The sequence below is a fragment of the Homo sapiens genome, chromosome 10, assembly GCF_000001405.40.
Source record: "Homo sapiens chromosome 10, GRCh38.p14 Primary Assembly".
Classification (NCBI taxonomy): Eukaryota; Metazoa; Chordata; class Mammalia; order Primates; family Hominidae; genus Homo; species Homo sapiens.
The window spans coordinates 75,647,023-75,669,854 of NC_000010.11; the positions used below are offsets into that span (position 1 = coordinate 75,647,023).

At 41.3% G+C, this 22,832-nt stretch overlaps 1 protein-coding gene across 2 annotated transcripts in view; it reads left to right on the forward strand.

Annotated features, from left to right (window-relative positions):
* LRMDA (leucine rich melanocyte differentiation associated) overlaps positions 1 to 22,832 on the forward strand; it is a 1,128,545-nt gene that overhangs the window by 215,399 nt on the left and 890,314 nt on the right. Inside the window, exon 1 of one of the 2 annotated variants that reach the window (NR_131178.2) lies at positions 487 to 571. The exons of the other annotated variant lie outside the window; for it this stretch is intronic. The gene's annotated coding sequence lies outside the window, so the exon portion shown is untranslated. Of the gene's footprint in view, positions 1 to 486; positions 572 to 22,832 lie in introns of those variants that run through there. 2 annotated transcript variants of the gene reach the window in all.

The following is a 22,832-nucleotide window of genomic DNA, read 5'->3' on the forward strand; positions in this document are numbered from 1 at the left end:
CTCAGAGAGCAAACTTGGCCGGCAGTCCCATGCAGATTAGGGAGATGGAGCTTGCCCAACGCTGCTTTTCCCCCGGACCTCCCCGGCTCTTGCTGCCAGACTTTCCTGAGGCCTTGCTTGCCTCCTCTCCTACCCTCCTTCACCAGCTGCAACAAGTCGTAGGAAGTGCATCCCGAGGCAGTGTGTACAAAGTGCAACTTTGAGCTGGAACTCTTGCAACCATGTCCAATTTTTTTTTAAAACCCTAAAGACTTAAATGCTCTATTGTTACTAAAATCTTTGGCTGTGATGGAGGTAATTATGGGTGGTTTTCAGCCCCATGAAGGAGACTCAAACAGGCTGGGGACCATGCAGAGGGAGGTGCCAACTCCATGCTTCTAATACCAGCACATTGCTGTTGGCAGTTTGTATAATTAGCCAAGATAGAGTGGCGGTAGTGGCAGTGGTGGTGTGTGTACGTAGGGGAGAAAGGGAGGCATGCTCTTGAACAAAGAGGTGAATGAGCAGAATGGGTCATGTACATCCCACTGATGTGTGCTGATGTGACAAAGAGAGAAGGCAGGTAGAAGAGGTAAGAGCTTTTTTTGTGACCCCTGTATGGGTATGGCTTCTGGGTTTGTGTCTTGGTCAAGACTCTTAATTGCATTAAAATAGTAACCAACTTGAGATAACTTAAGCATAAATAAAGGACTTATAAAGGCACTGACTTATCTCATGGAACCGAAAATCAAAGATATAGCTGGCCCTCTTGGTGACTGGGAATTGGACTTGGAGAGAGGGACCAAGGTAGCTGGTCTCTAGGTCTCTCTTAGTCTCTCTCTGGTCCCACTCCTGCCCACTTCTGCTCTCACCCACCACCCCTACCCACACCAAACCACGAGAGTCAGGAGAGTGAAGTTCTGGAGCTCGCAGTTGTGGTTTGCCTGAAGATGGGGTATTGAAAGGAATGGTTTCCACCCTTGCCTCCAAATGATACCAAATGCTACTTCTCAGAAAGGGAGCACAACTTCCCTTTGGGTGGCTCAGCTAGTATGGCTTAGGGATATAACAGGGAACCTGCTGATGTTCATACTGTGATACTTTGTTTTTCTCATAACTGTTATATCAGGATGTACATTAAGTTAAGTAATCTTCACAACCACCCTGTTAGGCAGGGGCTGTTCTCTTTATTTAACAGATGAGGATAACAAGGCTGAATGTTTGAGAACTTGCCCTAGATCATGGTGAGTGGCCAAGCTGGAGTTTTAACCAAGGTTCTGTGTCTCTGAAACCTGATGCTTCTCACCCTGCCACACTGCCTCTTGCTAGCATGGTGTGCCTTTCCCTACAACTTGGGCTGCTCAGTGGAGCAGAATTATCTGCTTGAGAATCAAAGAAAACCCGGGAAAAGTGTTTTTTTCCTGTGTCCTATTTCGACTTTCTAAGTAGAGACTGTGCAGGGGGCTCTTATAGGAAATTTATTACTTGCATTCAGATTTTGTGCTGCTCCACATATGCAAATATGGACCACGTGGGCCTGGGTCCTGGTCTGCTTGGGGATGTGAGCAGAAATACAGTCTCATTATCTGGCCATCAAGCCCTACAAAGACTCTGGAGCCTCTCTGTGCAAAACATCTAGAGCAATCCTGAAATCAAAGGAAGCTGCCAATTACCTCACAGCAAACCTGACAATTAAGAAAAAAGGAAGTTTCACTTTTCTAAGTTGGAAACAGAGAGTATTTGCTCTGGGGAAGGAGCAGGTAACTAAGGTTTATTGAATGCCTAACATGTGTTAGGGATGATACCAGGACTCCCTGGTGCTCTGTCTCATTTGGGTGGTGGGCATATTCCCATATCAAAAATGAAGAAACAGATGTTCTGAGTAGTTGAAAACTCGAACTTCCAGTGCACTGGGCTATGGAATGATTGTTTCTCCTGTTACATGGGCTGTGGTCCCATGTAACCCATTGTTTTAAACCACTTTAACCATTTTAAAGTATACAGTTCAGTGGCATTAAGTACCTTCATATTGTGCAATCATCAGCACCATCCATCTGCAGAACTTTGTTCATTTTGTAAAGCTGAAACCCATTAAACAGTAACTCCCCATTCCTCCCTCCCCTTAGCCCCTAGCAACCACAATTCTACTTTCTGGCTCTCTGAATTCGACTGAGCACCACTGAGTACCTCATATGGGTGAATTATACAGTATTTATCCTTTTGTGTCTGGCTTCTTTCACTTAGCCTATGTTCAAGGTTCATATTGTGGCATGTGTCAGAATTTTCTTCATTTTTAAGGCTGAATAATATTGCACTGTATGTATAGATCACATTTAGCTTATCTATCCATCAGTGAACAGTTGGGTTACTTCCACCTTTTGGCTATTGTGCTTTCCTAAACATGAGTGTACAGATACCTCTTCAGCACTTTGTTTTTTGAACACAACACTTGTGTATCTGTTCATATGTTGATAGGCATTTGGATTATTTCCAGTTTTTGGCTATTACAAATAATGCCACTATATGTACATACCATATTTTATCTGTTCACCCATCAGTGGAGACTTGGACCACTTCTGTCTTTGTCTACTGTGAATAATGCTGCTGTAAACATTAGTGCACAGATATCTCTTCCTGTTTCTTTGTTCAGTTCTTTTGGGTGTATACCCAGAAGAGGAATTGCTGGGTCATATTATATTTCTCATTCTTTGAGGAACTGCCATATTGTTTTTTATAGCAGCTGCACAACTTTCCGATTTCTCTACATCCTTGCCAACTCTTCTTTTTGTTTGGGTGTGTGTGATGATGGCCATCTCAGTGAGTATGAGTAGCATCTCATGTGGCTTTTATTTGTATTTCCCTAATGATTAGTCATATTGAATGCCTTTACATGTACTTATTGGCCATATGCATATGTTTTTGGAGAACTGTCTATTCAAGTCCTTTGCCCATTTTTGAATTGAGTCTTCTTTTGTTGATGTTATTGTTGAGCATTAGGACTTCTATTTTGAGTATTAATCCCTTATCAGATATGTGATTTGCAAATATATTTTCTCATTCCATAGGTTGCCTTTGTACTCTGTTGATAGTGTCCTTTGATGTGCAAGATTTTAGTTGATGAAGTCTAGTTTGTCTATTTTCTTTCTTTTGTTGCCTGTGCTTTTGGTGTCATATCCAAGAAATCATTGCCAAATCCAGTGTCATGAAGCTTTCCCCCTATGTTTTCTTCTAAAAGTTTTATCGTTTTCATTCTTAAATGCTCAGTTATTTGATCCATTTTGAGCTAATTTTTGTAGATAGTGTTAGGTAAGGGTCCAACTCACTTTTTTGGCATGTGGATGTCCAGTTTTCCAGCACAATTTGTTGTAAAGACTGTCTTAGTAACCTTGTCAAAATCATTTGACCATCTATGCAAGAGTTATTTCTAGGTTCTCTATTCTTTTAATAACAAAATTATTTTTTGTCTCCCCCATTAAATTATTGACTTTTTTTTTTCATGATAAGGTTGAGAGATAGCAGAATTTAAACATTTAGACCGCTAGATAGGAGTTGCAATGCAGGGTCTACTCTTGGCTCTGACCCTGGAACAGGTCACAACCACAATTCTTTGCCTCTCTGCCCAACTTTTGAAAAGGAAAGGTGATAGTATTGGCGATTTTAAAGTCAACAGAGAAAACAGACTTGGAATGGTCTTTCAAGTCTTTAAAAGGAAAGGGAGGGAGGGCCCTTTTCTAACTGGAAGGCTCAGATTTCTGGTGAGTGTGAGGGCCACCATCTTCCTGACCCTCAGATGACCCTTCTTCCTGCAGTCCCATGACTAAACTGGAGGTCAGCACCGGGGTGAGGATGCGGTCAAAGGATGAGCCCCCATGGTGGGCAAACAGGGCCAGAGAGAACTCTCATCAGCATTATAGATGGTCGCCCCAGCATCAAAGGGCAGCCTACTCTCTCCTCAGGTCAGGGAAGCCTCTTTGTGTCATTCACATTGTTGTGAAAAGAGAAAAAAAACACTTGGCCCAAAATGTTCTCTCCACCATTTTCTACCTGATCTTCTCTGTCTTTTTCTCTCCTGACATTCTTCTCTGTTAGCCCTAGAAAGGCCCGTGTCTTCCTTCTTTCTTGCCTTGTGTATATTTTCACAGTGAGGTTTCTGTACTCTGTGTGCTGTTATGCCAAAATGTTGCTGTATGGCAAGAGACAGGATATATCCCTAAGCACCAATCATGTATACCTCATCTACCAGTGAGCTGTGAGGTAAATCCATGAGTCCCGAAACCTGGGCTCAAGAAGAAAGCTGCTTCCATGCTCTAGGATCTGGGCAGAAAATGTGATTCTAAAGGGTTATGTTTGAGGGTATCGCTCAGCCCTGAAGACTGTGCACACTGTCATAAGCCCTTGGATACTCTCCCACTTAGGGATTTCTGTGCATTTCAGTCTTCTTAGGCTGCAGCTGGAAGTCAATAGGAAGTGTTGTGGTCTCTCACAACAAGCTCATTTATTCATCCATTCTCTGGACACTCAAGGAAAAATATTAGCTCCTCTTAGGATCTGTGTATAAGCCAAATCATGTTGGCTTAGGCGTACTAGGAGGAGATTTTCAAGCTGTGTTAGAAGAGGGAATATAGTCACCTTTATCTTTCCAAGTTATCTGTCAGTTGAGAGCCATGCTGCTGTTAACAGCACCTCCCGGTGGCCCAAAAGGAAGGCATAAGGACCCAGCCAATCTTGCTTAGGCTTTTATGGGAAGAGTCTTTTGTAGGCCTTGGTGACTGAGCACATTGAGCTATATGATGGTGGGTTTTTTACATTGTATAGGGTTTTGATGAAAGATATGGTATGAGCCCCTAAAGCACTTAAGGGTACCAATAGACTTGACACTTCTCCACTTCCATCACACAGTATTGCTATGAAAATGCAATCAATCCAGTTCCTGACATCTTTTCTACCCCACTCTCAAGAGCACCTACTGTATCAACATGACATTTTAAAATCTTGGCTTGTTTTCCAGGCCATGAATTTAATTTCTCATTGCTTCACCATTTGGCTTTTATGTTCTCAAAGCGAAATGTTGTCCAACAATAGTTACCACCATCTTGTTAGTCAGGTCCTCTTTCCTGGGCATCCTAAAACCAGATAATTTTAAAAAATTCATTGCAGCCATGGGCACTCAGCCTTGTGCTAATAGCCACCAAGTTCTGACAAAGCAAGTCCGACATCCCTCGATAAGTAAAATCCAAACCTCCTGACGTTGTGTAACAGTAAGCAGATTGGCATGTCTTTGGATTAGTGGAGGCACTGAAGCAAAATGCTCAATCCTTAGTGACCTTTGGCAAATGGATGGGGATGTGTAGCCATTGTAGGTTATCTTTATGTTCACTGTGTAGACACTCAGCCTCTGCCAGGCCAAGACAGAAGCTGTCAGGGCAGATAAACTTAGTTGGGAACTAGCTGTTTTTCTGACTATATCACAGTGCTTTGCAGAACTATTTTGTCTGATAAACTGCTTCTTCTTTAAACTTGTCTGTGAATAGTTCTGTGAAGCATTAAGCTTTCCCTCTTGGGTTTTGAGCTGCCTGTACTTTGTTTTAATCTTTGGGTCTAGAACTGACTTTCTCATAAAATGTACAGTCCACTGTCCTCGGCTGCAGTGTCTTCCGGTGAGTTCCTTTGAGGGAGTCAGTGGGAGATGCCATATCTGGGTCTATCAGACATGTATTCTGGGGGATGTGTGTGTGTGTTTCTTCTATCTGTCCAGGAAGCATTCTGTGAAAATAGGGTCCCCTTTGATCACTTCTTTCTGAGCCCATTAATGCCTGTTTCTAGTTTAAACATAATTCATATGTTGATATAGAATTTTGCAAGCACTTGGAAAAAAAATTTGGGCAAAAGTTCTTACCACTTGGAGTAAAGCTCATACTTTTATTTCCCTCCTCTGCTAGAGAAGTGGTGACTAAAGGCCAGAGATGTTGATTCTGAACACTCTCTCTGCTTGGGCAAGTTGCTTGACTTCTTTGGGCTCAGGTTTGCTCCCCTTTAAAATAAGGTGGTCACATTAGGTGATTTCTGAGACCCACTCTGGCTTTAATGGACTCCAAGCTCTCTAAGACTGAAGCAGAGAATATTTTTGGGGAAGTGAATGAACTGTTGGGTTTTTCTTCTTTCATTCCTATTCCAGGTGAAGATAAAAGACTTAGCCCTCTATTGAGCTGACATGGATTCAGAATTCTTTAGTGTTCAGGCTTTCTTTTAAGCTTCAGACAGGATCGTGAAGAGAAAAACCTGCCCTCAATTCCTTTGCCTTGTTAGTTCTCATATAATGTGCTGCAGAAACTGCTAATTGTCACTTCGAGGTGATGGGTGAGGGTCTGGTCTCTTGAAGGAAAAGTCAAAATTTTCAGTTCCTGTCCCCTTCTTGTTTAGGTAGAGGTGTATTCAAGTCTGATAAAGGAGGACTCTAAATCTAATTTGAAATTAATTAAATTTGCCCCTTCCCCAAAGCAGTGGGGAGTGAGAGAGAGTTGCAGGGTAACAATGTAAATATCCAGTTGAATACAATATACTGTAATAATGAAAATATAATTTTCTGGACAGTCTTGGGAGAGTGCCTGTGGGTTGCCCTTGCATGTGCTGTGTAACATACACATGTACGTATGCTTCGCTAAAGAGCCATCTAGACATAACTTCAATCACAAACACTTATATTGCTAATCTTTTCAAGAGATTTTTCTTTAGTTTTAGTTTATAACTCTAAGTATGATCTTATACTTGTGTGTGAAAATGCACTCCTTGAAACTTGAGCCCAATAACCTGTGTTTGTACATCAGTTTCACAGGACATTGTTTTCAAAAAAATGTCATCGGCATTCCTTTCATTTTTGTTGCCTGCTAGGTATACCCTTTTTCCACGTCTCTCTGACTCAGCCTTCTCTACGTCTGCTAAGAAATTTGTAGTTGTCCAGCATTTGTTTAGTAAAGTCCCCGGGTTGGCCTCTATGTGGACATTTGGTCCCCAGTGCCGGAAGTCACACCCATAGTCAGCGCACTGCCCCTCGTGATCAGGCACTGCCCCTAATGTGTTGTCTTCTTTGGCGGAGGGATGGGCTAATGTGAAGCTGGAAAGCAGATCTTTGGTTGAAAGATTTTTCCTTTGGTGATATAGTAATTTTAATCTGGAATTAGATCATTTCAGCAAGAGGTGGTTGAAAGGTCCAGTTCTTGGCTCTATCACTTACTGGCTGTATGACTGTGGGTAGGTGTCTTAATGTCTCTGAGCCTTACTTGTACATTGGAGACATTACATCTTTACAAGGTTGTCTTAGAGGGTGACTAAGATAATGCTCATCAATCTACTCAGTTTATATAAGTTGAATGGGAGCCACCAACAGTTCTTACCCAGGAGTATATTAAATTTACTAGTTGAATTTTACTCATGGAGCTTCAATACAAATGGGAGGATGGAGGCCACCAGATTTAGCTTTCAACTCTATAATTGGGAAGTTCTGAGTCATTTCCCTTTTCCTTAATACCTGGAGTATTTCATTGTTTGGCTCTTGTCCTCTCCCCTCTCCTTCTCTTTATTCTAGAAATATTTCCTGGCATGAAGATTTGCCAGTTTGTTTGTCTTAGGGTAAGTTTAGCACAAGAAGTAAAACCAAACCACAGTCATACACAGATGTGAACACCAGCATCACCGCACAGTAATGCAACTTAAAAGAAAGTTTGACAGAATTAGAAATCTGACAATGCCTTTGTAGGAGCTTTCAGAGAAAATGGTGGGAGTTTCATATATTTGAAGCAATGAAAGCAAGAATGAGAAAAGCATGTCTTTGAGAAGACAACAGAAGACAATGAAAAGAAATCCTTACAGCTCAAGGATTTGAAATCACAATCATGTGACACTTTTGGAAGCGAAACAGAAAAAAATTAACTTTGCTCTAGTTTTTATGGACTTCTTTTGACTTATTGCATAAAAATAACAGAAATTTCTGGCAAGCGGACTGGATTTCCAAAACTCTTCCCCACGGAGGCAGCGAGGAGAATTGTCTGAAAAGTTATGTGTGTTTGTTATCATGAAAACATTAATAATATTAGGATTTGGCTATAATCCATTTTTACTTTGAGAACCTCGACATTTTAACGGGTACATGTAACTGATAAATCCTTTTTGTGGTTGTCAAAACAAGCAAAGCTAACTTTGTACATTTCCTATTATAACTAAAAGCACTTTGACAGTCTGAAATTGGGTGTATCAGTATGGAGAGCAAACAGCCTATTCATTTTATCACCATACTTCTCTAAGGATTTTGACATTTCTGAGATACATATCACTTCTAAACAGTGAAGCACAAAGTTGGTAAAGGTTGTGATGGCTGCAGTTCATGGAGGTTGACCATCCTGTTGGGATTGCCAGTTCCCTTGGCAGGTGCCTTGCTAGGCCAGCCTGCCATGCATCTGGTCATGTGGAGACCATCAGGAGACCATCGCATGGTCTATCCACATCTTTGAGGCCCAACTGATCATTTGTGGTGTCCTGAGAGCTTTCAGCCATGCTGTAGTCTGGGAGAGTCAGTTTTTGGGTGGGTTCAGGCATGGAGCATCTGATGATGTTGGAGTCAGTCACAATGAACCAGAACCTGAGGTCTGGGCAGGACCAGGCTCTGTGGAGAGAGGCAGTATGCTAGAGTGACTGATGTCTGTTCAGAGGAGGAGAAACATCTCCAGGCAGAGAGAAAGCCATGGTTGGTTCCCCTGCCCTGAAAGGTTTGGGCCTCGCGGTGTCTCTGCCTGTCAGATGTTTCATGTACTGGTCAGTGACATATTTTTAGGGTGGGTCTGGATAAGGATGTTTGGTTCAAACGTGTGTGGAGCCTGGGCCCCTTCACCTGCACATCCCTCATCCCACTGTCTCTCTCCAGCCTGTCCCCTCTGTGACCTGGTCATCTGCTTCTCTCCCTGGAGCTCCCCTCATGTGACCCATCTGTTTGCACTGGAGTGACCTTCTGCTGATCCCGTCTTGGTTGCCTCATTTCTTCCATTAGCTGTGAATTTTTTGAGGATAGTGCATATCTTATATTTTTAGTTTGTGTTTTAATTGTTCACCATAGTTCACATTCTATCTCATTCCCATAGTAGTTTTTTGAACAATTATTTTATCCGAAAGTACTTGTAGTGGTCTTCCAGTCTTTAGCCTGGAAATTAGCCTGATGACTAATGTTTTGTGTGGAGATTAGCAGAGTAGGTAGTGGCTAAGAGCCCAGATTCTGGAGCCAGATTGCTTGGCTCAGCAATGCTGCTTTCTGGCTGTGTGACCTTGAATGAGTTAAAGTACCCCTCTGTGCCTTAGTTTCTTTATCTGTGCAATCTGTACAATAATAGAAGTACCCACTTCCTATGATTCCATTCTATGAATTACCTATTGTTGGTTGCTGTTGTTACTGTTTTTTTATTGTTCTCTTACTTGAGGACTTCAGTGACAAAGAGTAGCAGTCCCCGTGCTTTGGGTTACTGAATTTTAAACTCTTTTGTAAGGCTGATTGAGTGAGGGAGTCTTTGCTTGGAGGCAGGAAGATGACTCCCCAAGCCCCTGTTTGTCCCCCATTATTCCTGTCCTCCAGGACTGGCATGCCCTGCCGTTCATTTCCTTGTTGGAGGAGACAATGATGATGCCTTTTCTACACAGACACTCTCCTCAGCTGCTTGCTTTTGTGAGCAGGTATCTCCTCTGTTAAGAGATTAGAATCTTAATCCTAAATGATATTTCATGGCCTAAGACTTAAATTTATATATCACCATCCGGAATAATGTATTGGATTGCATTAAACAGATTGTAGATTAACATGCAACTATAAAACAAATCATCAATGTGTTGTTGACAACTCTAAGTGCAAGTTCATATATTTAACTACATTTGGGGAGTATTAAAGTGTTTAAAGCGGCTTAACGGGTTGATGTAAAATTAAGCATCATGTTCTGTTTCAATTTGTGAGCCAGCCCGAGAGACAATAAAATGGAGGCATAGGCTTGAGAGGAAGGAGCATGGAAGAAAATTTGGAATCAGACTTGGCACCAGGGAAATCCTGGCATGGTCAAAACATATTGGGTAGCAGTAGAAGGCTGTCCATTTACATACTCAGTCTATGAGCAGGTATTTGAAGCCTCAAGGAGTTTATAGTCCAGTTGAGATAAACCAACCAGCATACAGAAAACAATGGTGAAAAATAAGAGACTTAGTGTCCTTTAGCACTGAGCTGGGTGAAATGGACCACCTGCTGTGAGAGTTCACAGGAAATGACAGTGGCATTTGGAGTGGTCAGAAAGATCTTAAAGATGGTGGCATTTGAGCTGATCCTCATAAGGCAATCAGAGAGGAGAATGGAAGGCAAGGGTGAAAGCGTGGTAGGCGCTTGGGTAATGGTGTGCTGGAAATTCATGATCAGACAGTTGGGTAGGGCCAGGTACTAGAGAGCCACAGCAGCCAGGCAAGCACTAATGCTAGAACCAGGAACCAGACTGCCTGGGATTCAAATCCCTGATCCCTCACTTTCTAGTTGTGTGGCCCTAGGTGGGTTACATAACTGCTTTCTCAGTTTTCTCATCTGTAAAATGGGGATAACACCAGTATGTACCTTTGAGGATTGTTGTGAAGAGTCAATGTGTTTTTGAATAGAGGAGGCATATAGTAGTGGAAATGGCATTTGACCTGTAATGGTATTTAGGTTTGCTTCCAGGGTGAGAGAGTTGGGGGGCAAACTGGTGGGCAAATTGGGGAGGCTGTTTAAGCAATTTCGGTGCAGGGTAACGGGTCCTAGGCTAAGAATAGACTCTAATAAGAAAGACAGTAGATGTGTGGATTTCTTTTTCTTAATTTTTATCCTTTTACTGTCCTTTGGGCTGTGGAGACTATCAGTGTGTATGCTCTGCCATGGTTCTGTAAGCCTTCCTCTAAACAGTGCATCCCGAGAGAGACAGATGTGAGCTGGGAATGTGGACCCTGCTGGATGCGGGCATTTCCTTTCCTCCCCTTCTCTCTGGCTTCACAGTGTTTAGACTTTTTTGTACCTATCCCAAAAATTGCTGCTAATTGACTTGGAGCACATAAAAATAAGGGATATGAATGCTCTGGAGAGACACCTCAGGCTCTACTTGAAGATAATATGGGGTGAATAAGAAAAACCGCAGTGTAGTCCGGAGCTGTGTTAAAGGGAATGAAACGTGCAAAGCCTTTTTCACTGCACGCTGTGTGAATGAGATCCTTGTTGGAACTCTAGAGTTGCTTACCAGAGTTCAAAGAAAATGAAAAAAAAAAAAAAAAAGGGAGGCAGGGAAGGCTGGTGAAAAAAATGATTCAAAGGGTAGAAAATAGATCTCTGAAGGAAAATCTTGTAAGACTGGAGTGTTCAGACTAGGGAAGGAAAAAGAGGGTAAATTAATTCCTAACCTCAAATAGCAAAAGGTTTCTTTTTTTTTATGTGAATCTTTGTTTCTCAAAGAACGTTCTATGGAACCCAAGTTCTGGAGCGGGGTGGCTTCTGAAGTCAGGTCAGTCCCCCATGGACAATTCCCAAAGCACATTTGCATCTAAGAGGGACTGAGGATTTCTGCAGAAAGAACCCCATTTTACTTTGAGTAACCTACTGTATTCCAAACATTTTCATCTCTGGAAATTTTTAGTTTTCTAACACCTTTGGAAAATGCTGAGTCAGAATCACTAAGATGATGTTCAGTATAAGAGAAAAAATAAAAGGTTTGAGGTGTGAGACCAAACATTGTGGTGATAATAGAATTTTCACTGGGGGAAATGTAGGGTCCTCCTCTATTTTGGTGGGTGGAGGTAAAGAAGAGAATACAGTCAGCCACCTGTTTTTAAGGCCATGTGCCTACCTAAGTGCAGGGGCCACTGCCCCTGTCCTTCCCAGTCCTGGGGCATTCAAGCTGAGTGCTGTGGGCTCAGGTTTGGAGCCCAATCATTTGGGCTCCAAATTCTGTAAGGTGGCTGGAGAAGCTTGATGGGCCTGGCCCCACCGGCAGGAGATGAGGTAGATGGCCCCTGGGACCAGCTGAGAAGGGCAAACACAGACCTGGCTCTTTGCTGAGGCCAGCCTGGGGAGACGCATGGCACATTGCCGACACAAAGTGCACGTCTGCCCCTGCTCAAGGGCAAGAGTCATCCAGGTGTGTCAACTCATGGTGCCTCTTAGGGAGTTCAAGAACCGAAATTCAGGAGAGGCACTCTCAGTTTACGTTACTTTCTTCATCAAGGTTGGCAAGTGTCTTTCCAGTTTTTGCTTAAAACCCAGCTTTCTTCCCTTCCCTTTGTTTTCTCCCCTTCTCTCTGTCTTCCTGCCTCCCTCCCTTTCCTCTCTTTTTTTTTCTTTCTTCCCCAGCTTTATTTGAGGTGGAATTGGCAAATAAAAACTGTGTATATTCAAGACACACAACATGATGATTTGATATACATATACATTGTGAAATGATTGGAGATTCTGCCATTTGCGACAACACAGATGAACCTGGAGGACATTATACCAAGTAAAACAAGCCAGACACTGAAAGACTGTATTATCTCACTTATATGTGTAATCTAAAAGAGTCAAACTCCCAGAAGCAGGGAATAGAAATGTGGTCACCAGGGACTGGGAGGTGGGGGAAATGGGCAACTGTTGGTCAAAGGATACAAACTTTCAGTTATAAGATGAGTAAGTTCTGAGGATCTAATATACAGCATGGTGACCATAGTTATAACACTGTATTGTACACTTGAGATTTGCTAAGAGAGTAGATCTTAAGTGTCTCCCCCTCCTTCTCTTTAATCTGTCACTTCCTTTCTTTCTTTTTCTCCATCTCCTTTTTTCTTCTTTCTCTTTTCAACAAAGAGGGAGAAAACCAAGGCTTCCTCCTCCATCATTGCCCTATGATTTTTTTGCTCTTCACTAAGTGAGATGCATATACCTTACTCTTGATCCTAGGAGGAACTTTTTGTTTTCCTAAGTCATAGGCGACTTTCTCTTTCTCCCTCTTTCTCTCCCCATCCCCATAGGAATGTGTGTGTCTGGGTGTCTCTGTCTTTCTCCCTCTCTCTCTCTCTTTACACACACACAGGCACACACACACTATCTTGAAGGTACAGGATACACCTTTTGTGTTCCATTTATTGTAAAATATTGCACACATCTGTAATTATATTACTCTTAAAATAAAGCCTTCATCTACTCTTAACATCTTTTGATGTCCCTTCCCTGCTGACTCTATTTTTTCTTGTTCCCACTTTACGTTAATGTGAAGAGACAGTTGAGTAAATGCACAATGAACTTCAAAACCTAGTAATTGTTTTTCAGAAAGAATGAAACTTGCGAATTAGATATGGATTGTAAAAGAACACCAGGGCTGATTAGTGTTTGTGAGGGGCGCCTGCCGGACGGCTCTGACACCTGCCTGCCAGCACTCTCCAGAAATGCCACCATTGATGCCTCTGTTCTGCCCATCACAGGACGGGGGGAGAAGTGCTGGGTGGGAGTTAAAAGGCTCCGCAGTGAACCACCTTGTCAGACTCACCAATTCATGGGACGCCTGACATGAAAGGCAGCGAGAAACAAAGATGAGTTGCAGCCACTTTACAAGCAAACTCTAGTTATCTGTAAAAATAAAATAAAATAATAAGGTTTTTCAAAAACAGAGAATGAATGAGCATTGAAGGTGTTCACCATGTTTTTTTTTTTTAAGGTTGTGGAGATAATGAGTTTTTTGAGACTTGGGGGAGGAAAAGAATTCACAAGCCAAGTTTCAAGCTGCTGAAAAATTGCTTTTAGGAAAGAAAAAAACCCTTTTCCATGCTAACCATCTGCTTGCATCTTGTTTACTGCCCAGAGTGCCAGTTTGTGCTTATTAATCATGCTTACACAAGTATCTTAATTACTCCCTATGTAGCTGCTCTGTCTTGAACTCAGAAGTTGACCTTTCTCTTTTTATTCCTTTAAATCATTAATCATACACAATCAACGCCAGCGGGACAGAGCCACAGAGAAGGCTACCCAGATTCTCACACCTCACGCCAGTCCCAGGCAGACAGGGAATGCCAGAGTGACTGCTTTGCCAGCAGCCAGGCGGATCTTAATTAATGACTCTGCTGTGTTGAGGCACACGGGCTGGGGGAGGCCCTTCCTGCCACCGCCCCTCCGTGCTTCCTCCAGTTGCTGCCTGGTTTGAGGAATGACTGCTTTACTCTGCTGAAACCCAGAAAGGCCTCTGCTAGGGTTTTACAGACCTGCACGCCTCGACTCTCGAAGGATCCCAACAGAGGCTGAGGGAACTTCTCAGAGAAGATACTATTTCTTGCCGTGAGTGGGAGTTTGTACCAGACCAGTTCTTCTCACGATTTGCCATGCACGTTTATCTGGTGGGGATCCTGCTAAAATGTAGATTTCTGATTCAGGAGGTCTGGCTGGGACTTGAGAATCTACATCTCTAAAAAGCTACCAAGCAATGCCAATGCTGCTGGTCCAGGGACCGTACTTTGAGTAGCAAGGAGCTAGTTGGTTGATGAGAACCAAGGTCCTCCCTCCAAGCCTGGAGATGTGATAAGAGAGTGTCACCTCTATGAATGTGAGATATATATATTTTTTTCTTTGGCTAGATGAGCAATATTTTGGTAATTTGGAAGGTAATTTTCAGGCAGGTGATATATACACATGAACAAGTGTGGCACCCTTATCCAGGCAAAAGAAACACACATGATGTACAGATTGGCCTTTCCTATGGAGGGAAGAGTGAAATTGAGACTTTAAAGACCCCTTTCATTGAACTTTGTAAAAAGTTGCTTAAAACAGCTGAAAAAATTCTACTCCAAAAAAATGGAGTGCTCAAAACTAAAATAATAATAATGATAATAATAAAATGGATTGAGGCTTGGGTTTCATAAGGCTGTTTCTCAGTTCCAGTATACCAGACAAATTACAGCCTGTGAAAGTAATTTTGTTTCCCCCTACCCTGTACTTTCAGCCTCCTAAGTAGGATAGGAAACCTGGAGATAAGAAACAGAAGGAAAAATGTAAACTGAGGACCTTTTCTTTTGGCCAAATTGAATGTTCTACTTTTAAAGGGGAGGAATTTAGCTGCTTTTTTTTTTTCTGCCAAAATTGCTTGAGTTTTCCATTCATTGTCATTCATTTTACATTTCAAAGTGCAAACTGCAAAGTGTAAAGTTGTATGGTGGTAATACACACAGTAGAATTTTGGTTGACACTTCCAGCTCTGATGAAGTAGAGATGAAATAAATCTGAAACACATCTAAATAGGCTTGGGGTTTGCATTCTATCCCATCTAAGGGAAGCTGAGTAGATCATAGACGGATGCTACTACAGGTTTCGTTATTGGTAATCCTTCGGAAAGCGACACGGAAACACATTAGAACTAACCTCCACTGCCTTCCATTTCATCTAAACAGTGGGGTGAGGGTCTGGGTGGGAAGGAATTTTATTGAAAACAAAGTCTGAAGTAAAAGCAACAAATCTTTACTAGTGAAAAGTCACCTAATTAATTTAGATAAAAACTTTATCATCCCACATGCAAAAAGAATATGTGGTTTTCCGGCTTTGTTATTTACATTAAAAATTACTTGTTCATGAAGTTAAAAAAGCGCAATTACCCTGAATGAGGTGAATTAAGAAAATATTTCATCAGTGTAGCTTGTCTTTTCAACTGGCTGCCTTTTTGGAGTCTCTTGTTGATTTATGAAGTGAAAATTCTGTCTTGTCTTTGGTGAGGACGTTCTGTAGCCTTCCTACATAGTTTTGGTATTTGGGTATGCACATGTTTTTGGCAGCCTGGAGAATATCCTGGCTGCAGTGACAGAAAGACATAACTCACTTTTCGTTTGGTAAAGGAGTAATTAATTTGAACTTCTGGACATGAAGCATTTGAGAGCTGGAACTGGGTGCCTTGCGTAACCATGGTCTGCTGTTAAACTCTTTATAGAAGACTCTTCTTGTTCTTGGAACTTTGTCTGGACTTCAGAGCAGGCTGATTTAAGTGTTGAGAGCCTGGTCTGGCAAGAGTTGTGTTTATGCTTTTCTCTCTGAAGGCCATGGATCTGACCCCTCCAAGGAAGCCAAGCTATTTTTAGGGAAAGTCTAGAGTAGAGTGGCATTTTCTGGGAGAATCTGTGGCATTTTTTGTAGAGGACTCTTAGGGCAGGGATTGGGATGGGGCTGAAGACCCCTATGTCTGCCAGCAGCTTCTCCTCCTCCCCGCCCTTAATGGGCCAAGGCTGTACTTCTGTTAGTGGATTCCATATTTGCTATGGTGGAAGACTGGCCTGTGAGACTTTCCTATAGGAAGTATATGGAAGTCCTCTGTCTAGCAAAGGATTCTCTGATTACCAATGTCTAATTTAACCAGTCTGAGGTGGGAGCCTGGGAAATCTGTAGTTTCTAAAGCTTCCCAAGTCATTCTAATGTTCATCCAGGGTTGAGAACCCCAATATAAGGCCTCGAGTGTGTTCTTATCTTGGTCCATTTCATTCTCCAGCTTCTGCAGATCTCCAGAACTCTCTCAGTTCAGACTGTTATGTTGAAGCCCTGGAGATAAAGGGATGACCTGAGCAGGGTGTCTGCCTTTCAGATACCCACAGTCTACAGAGAAGGGTTATCTGTAGCACCAGCTCACCCTCTCTGGTTCTGACTTGGCCTTCATTGTCCAGTCTTTGGGCTTTTTGTCCTGGTTCTTTTCTGTTACTTGGTCTGCCATCTAGCACTTGCCTGAGCTTCCTAATGTGTGTATTCCCTATGTAGATCTAACTCTGGGCTTAGTTTAGACCCCTATTCCCAACAGCATGGTGTTATAGGAATCCTAAAATGGATGGGTTCCATGGCGAGGACTGCTGGGGAGCCCCACGTCAAACAAAATTCAACACTTGTCTTGACTATAGGGCTCCTTAGAATATACTCAGGGGCCCATGTGTGTCTTTAAGAGGAGAGTAGGGTATACAGTCTTTCCTATCTGTCTCTTCTCAGGAACTCTATCAGGGACCCTCCTGTGGATATCGAATAGTCCGTAAAGTTTACTTTGGCCAGTACTGTTCTAACCTCTGGGAATTGGTCCAGCCTCCACTCTAGAAAATGTAGCTGTTTTTATCCTTGGTCTAGATCGCTGACTCATGTGTTCTGTCTCTGGGCTGACTGGCTCCTCTTTCTCAACCAGTCCTGCCTGTCTCTCCCTGGAATCCAAAACTGTGTGCCACTTACCTTTCATACAATGACAAACCCAAGTGACAGAAATCTCTCCATTTCCTTCCTTGCAGAGTCAGGCAGTGGCATCATTTATCTATTCACAATCCCTGTATTAGGTAGTAGAGAGGAAATGAATTCAGTTCTGCAAGAATTTATATTGACTACCAACTGTATGCCAGGCAATGGGCTTGGTGCCAGGGATACAAAGTTGGGTGATAGTCTGACTTTGCCTGGATTAACTCATGTTCTAAAAGAGCACACAGTGATCCTGAGCCCATATTATACTGTGTTCTATGATGGAGGAAGAGGAGTCAGGAGGGAAGGGGTTTAGGAGTCTCTAGGAGCTCCTGCTAAGGGCACTAACCCAGCTGGAGGGCATCAGGGAAGTCTACATGAAAAGGTGATTCCTAAGCTGGAGTTTGGAGGAAGAGTTGGAAAAGATGGGAGAAGGAAGTTTGTTCAGGGTGAAGGAATACAATGATTAAAGGCAAAAATGCCTGAAACACTGTGGCAGGATGAAAAAGATTGAAGGCATGGTATCTGATTGTGAAGAAACAGGATGTACACATTGAAATCTACCTGAATATCTGGAAAAAGTAATTCAACCATAAATGCTTAGAGTGTCCACTGCATATAGAATTTTTGAGGAGAGATGTGATAAAGGAACCACTAGAAGAGAAAGTAAGGAAATGGAGAAGCCAGACAGACCCAGCACCTGTTGGGGATTTAGATACTATTTTCAATCTCCAGATGTGGAAATTGAGACTCAGAAGAGGTTCAGTGACTTTCCCTGGCCCATCCAACTACTACTTACTGGAGCTGGGATTTGAACTTTGGTCTGGATTTATTAAAGAAGCCTCCATAGAAGAAATAATTTTTGCACTGGAGTTTGACAGAGGGGAGGAGCCTGCAGATTTTTATCTGGCACCTGATGAAATAGTTTCTTCACATGCCACATCATCGTCCCTTAGCTTTCTGTTGTCAGCGGTAGAATTCTGGCCTTTTAGAATTTGAAGTGACTTTTCAGATCTCTTTACAGATGAGGAAACTGAAGCCTAGAGCAGACAGGCGATTTCCCCCACTGAGTAACTTGACAGGTGGGGCTGAAGCCTGGTGGGCTGATACAACACACCTTTATTCTTTTTACTCTGACATGACATTATATTGGTGGGAGATAATGTCCTCATTCATTATTGTTTGCCTCCAAATATCAATTGATTTTTAAATATTAGAACCATTGTAAGATATGGTGGTTAAAATGATAAGAACATGTGCACATGTACCCTAGAACTTAAAGTATAATAAAAAAAATGCTTTCAGCATCTTCATGAGAAATTGACCAAAATCCCAAAGTTCTGAAAACAAAACTTTAAAATGAATTTTCTCTATATTAGTTTAGAACAAAGTCTGACCTGAAGTGATGTGAAATTATAATCTTCATTCATCCCACTTAGTAATGTCAGGAAAAATTGTGAAAGAATTTGAAATTGGTGGAAAAGATTCCTGGATGTCTTGTCTAGTGCATCCTTCTAGCTTATCTATGCCTTACATTGTCTTTGAGTTATTTTACAAGTCTGTAAGTTGTAGGAAACTGATAATAATGCAAAAAAATTTTTGCCTCTAGAAATGCAAATGAATTGTGTGCCCTGTATTATGCAATTGTTTCTTGTCCTGTGGATACCAGCTTTATATCCATTTGTAAATTCACTTCAGTATTCCAGATGGCCTGTATATGTGTGTTACTTTGAATTCTTCTTTGAACTGATACAATGTCTTACTCTCTCATTAATTAAAAGATTCAGTAAAATCTTTTCATGTATTCATTTTACATTTATGTAAGAATTATGATTTTACCTGATTTAAAAAAATTTGACCCTTTAACAGCATGAAAATTCTTATCTTTCACTCTAGAAATATGAATACCTGCTAGGGATGTTAGCTCATATACTGTATAGTTATACAGTATATAAACTATATTACCTTTCTAAGATCTGAAAAAATATCTGAATTGCAGTATGTTTATATGACCACAGGAATTCAGACAAGAAATTATGTGCTTGTGATACATTACTCCTTGTACTATTGTTTTCTTAGTGTCAAGTCACTAACTGTGAACTAAATAGTTTGAAAAAAACAAAAGCTAATTCAAATGAAATTATATTTTAATTTTGAATTTTGTATATAGTTATACAGTATATAAACTATATTACCTTTCTAAGATCTGAAAAAATATCTGAATTGCAGTATGTTTATATGACCACAGGATTTCAGACAAGAAATTATGCGCTTGTGATACATTACTCCTTGTACTATTGCTTTCTTAGTGTCAAGTCACTAACTATGAACTAAATAGTTTGAAAAAAACAAAAGCTAATTCAAATGAAATTATATTTTAATTTTGAATTTTGGGGGCAAGAGAGAATTTATAAGTATAAGGACCATTTAATAAGAGTTCATTGTTTAGGTAGATGGTTGGTTTTTTTTTGAGATTAATTAGTCCAACATGCTGACCATCATATTAAGAATAAGACAAGTACCAAAACAGGCACCAGTACTGCATAGTAGTGATAAGGTGCTTTTTTAGCCAGATGGGTCCAGTACTACTTAATTATTTTTAAAATTCATAATTAGGACCTAAGCTTAAAATTATAAAATTCACCTATCTGCAGGTTCCCATGGACCCAGGTTTGAGAAATAAATAATGGTGTAATCAATCAGTTATACAAGTTAACTGCAGTTACCTGGCTCTTTTCCTGAAAGGCAGCTAGGATGAAAAGGAAGAGGGTGGCGTGTATGGGTGTGGATATTTGTAATGCTTTATTTTCCAAGAGTCATAGAATCTAAAGGTGAATGTTTTCTTTTTGAAACTGTGTGCTATAATATTGAAATACAACTTTCATTAGAAATAAACATATTGGAATAATGAAATATATATTATTTCTCTACTTTCTTCACTCCTATATTTGGCGGTATTTGTCCTTTTCTAATGATTTTATAACCCCCCCCCCCAAGTAAGAATAAAATTTTATGAACATAGGTTAAAATGGATTCTTTTACTGGGTGGGACTTAGTTTAAATTAAATTAAATTAAATTAATTTTTGGGACAGGCCTCACTTTGTTACCTAGGCTGGAGTGCAGTGGCACGATCATGACTCACTGCAGTCTTAACCTCCCCAGTGATTCTCCTGCCTCAGCATCCTGAGTAGCTGGGACTATAGGCCTGTGCCACAACACTGATACATTTTTAAAAATTATTTTTAGAGACAGGGTTTTGCTATGTTGCCCAGGTTGGTCTCAAACTCCTGGCCTCAAAAGAATCCTCCTACCTTGGCCTCCCAAAGTGCTGGGATTACAGGCATCAGCCACTGCACCCAGGCTAGTTTTAAGTTGAAGGTCTACTGTTGCCAGGCTTTGTCACTGTTGGGTAGGATGTTCACTTCTTCTACTTTGGGCTTTGGGCCCTGTTCCTCTATTTCTAGAATCAGCTGGATGGAACCATAAATACAGTGGATCTTATGGATCATAGAAAGCTAGAAGGAACCATAAATATGATCTGGTCTGAACTCCTTATTTTAATTACAGATGAAAAAAACGTATTAATTAGCATGTCTTTCTGTTCATTCTTTAAAGCAGAGTTTTTCTGGACTTCTGCCGTTAATGCTAGCCTGGATTAGAAGCTTTTGAATCAACAATTTGGAAGAAAGTCCATCCTCAGTCCTTAAAAATTACACTACTATCAACAGCAACCACTCACACTAACACCTATTTCTTCCATTCCTTTGGTTAATTCCAAAATCAAAATCCGATACACAAAATTTCTGGGGCCTCTTCCATGGCCCTATAAGCAAGTGGTGCAAAGAGGGCCCTGAAGCCAAGGTTTCAATAGCTTCTTAGCAAATCTACTTCTGCCAATAATCCTTGTGACCTGTACCATACCTGCCTGGATCTCTTGCCCTCCCATCGCTTTGCATCAGGAGTTTGGTGTTCTGTTGACCACGTAAGGCTCTTTTCTTCTCAGACTGGAGGCTTACTGTGGGCTGCATCTGTGGCTTAAGGTTTTTGTGATTCCCATAGTACACATTTCCTCTGTGGCCCATTGGAAGTGGCTACCTGGGATGCTGTGTTGAGGATGCTCAGGCCTGCCTCCATGAAGGTGTATCTTAATTGATGCTCAAGGCCTGCCATGAGAACAGATGTGGGAAGTATGGACAAGTGCCCATGTCTGCCATTTTGCACCAGCTGTCAGGAAACATTTGTTGGTTGGGTCGGTGATTTATACAACCACTCTCGGTTTTGTCTCCAAGTGTAATGCCATGAAGACAAGGCTTTTTTGTCGGCTTTGTTTTCTCCTTTCATGGATATATCACAAGCCCCCAGAGCACTGTCTCACATAGAGTTGGGGCTTAATAAGAAAAATTTTTTTGAATGAATTAATTCTGAAGGGAGTAGGAACTTTAGTGCTAAACTTCACTTAAATTTAAATATGACTTTTAACTAGAAATCTAGCAACACACAGTTAATAAAACAGGTTACCTCAACTTTCTTAGAGCGTTCTTGTGTTAAGTTTGTGATGCTGAGGAATGTGGGGACTCCAGAGAATAAATTAATTGGAAATTGCTGCTTTGCTAATTTCTTCAGCAAATATGCCTAATGTATCTACTGTGTGCTGGACACTGCTCCCTGCCCTCATGAGGTTAGAGTCTGGTAGATTCCTTCTTTTCTATCATATAGTGGGGACTAAGCTGTGGCTCAAGTTTGTAAATGTCTCTCAAGGCAAATGAGCACTTAAGCAATGTCTTGACTCTGAAGGGCTTTCATTTTGGTTTAAGATGCTGATACATGGCAAGTTGTCAGCTACCAGCATTTTCCTCTCTACCATATTTAGCCCCTTATGTTGTATTTGGGATCCCCACAAAGTCCCACAAAGGTATCTTCTGTTTTCCATCTATGAATTGGTGTCACCCTCGTTCCTGAGGGTATGAGTTTGCTTTAACTGTGGCACACTATTGGCATCAGGGTCTGTGCTTGGGCATGATAAGGGACAGAGCAGTATTTTCTCAAAGGATAGACCATTTTTTCCCTATGAGGTTCTCTGGGGGAAGTGGGTAAAGGAATGGGATTGTGAGAGTCCCCTTGATGAAGCCTGTTTTAATCCTTTAACCTGAGCCTGTTGTAGGCTGAGGTTCTAGAAAGGCTGAAAAAACCATACATGGCCTCCCCAGGTCTGCATTTAGACACCAAGGGTTGCATTTCTAAGTCACATACTGCTATGCCTGTTATGTAAAGCCAAATTATTTTGTGAATTATCACAAACATTGATCTGCCCTTGACAGTACTTTAGACTTTTACAGTAAATTTGCAGCTGATAATGTTAGCAGACTGTCAATTTTTGTCACTTGTAAGCTTCCCTCAGTCAACTGCAGTTTGAAGGAAGTCCAGTGTAACAAAAGCATTGCTATCTCTTAAACTTGGCTTTAACCTTCAAAGACTAATAATTTATTATTTGGTGTTACGCCTCAGTACTTTTTGGTGACACTATATCATTTTTAATGTTGGTAACTTGATTTTTGTAATATAAAGACATATAAATAGGAGAAAAAGAAAATGATAGCTAAGTACTTTTATGGTTAG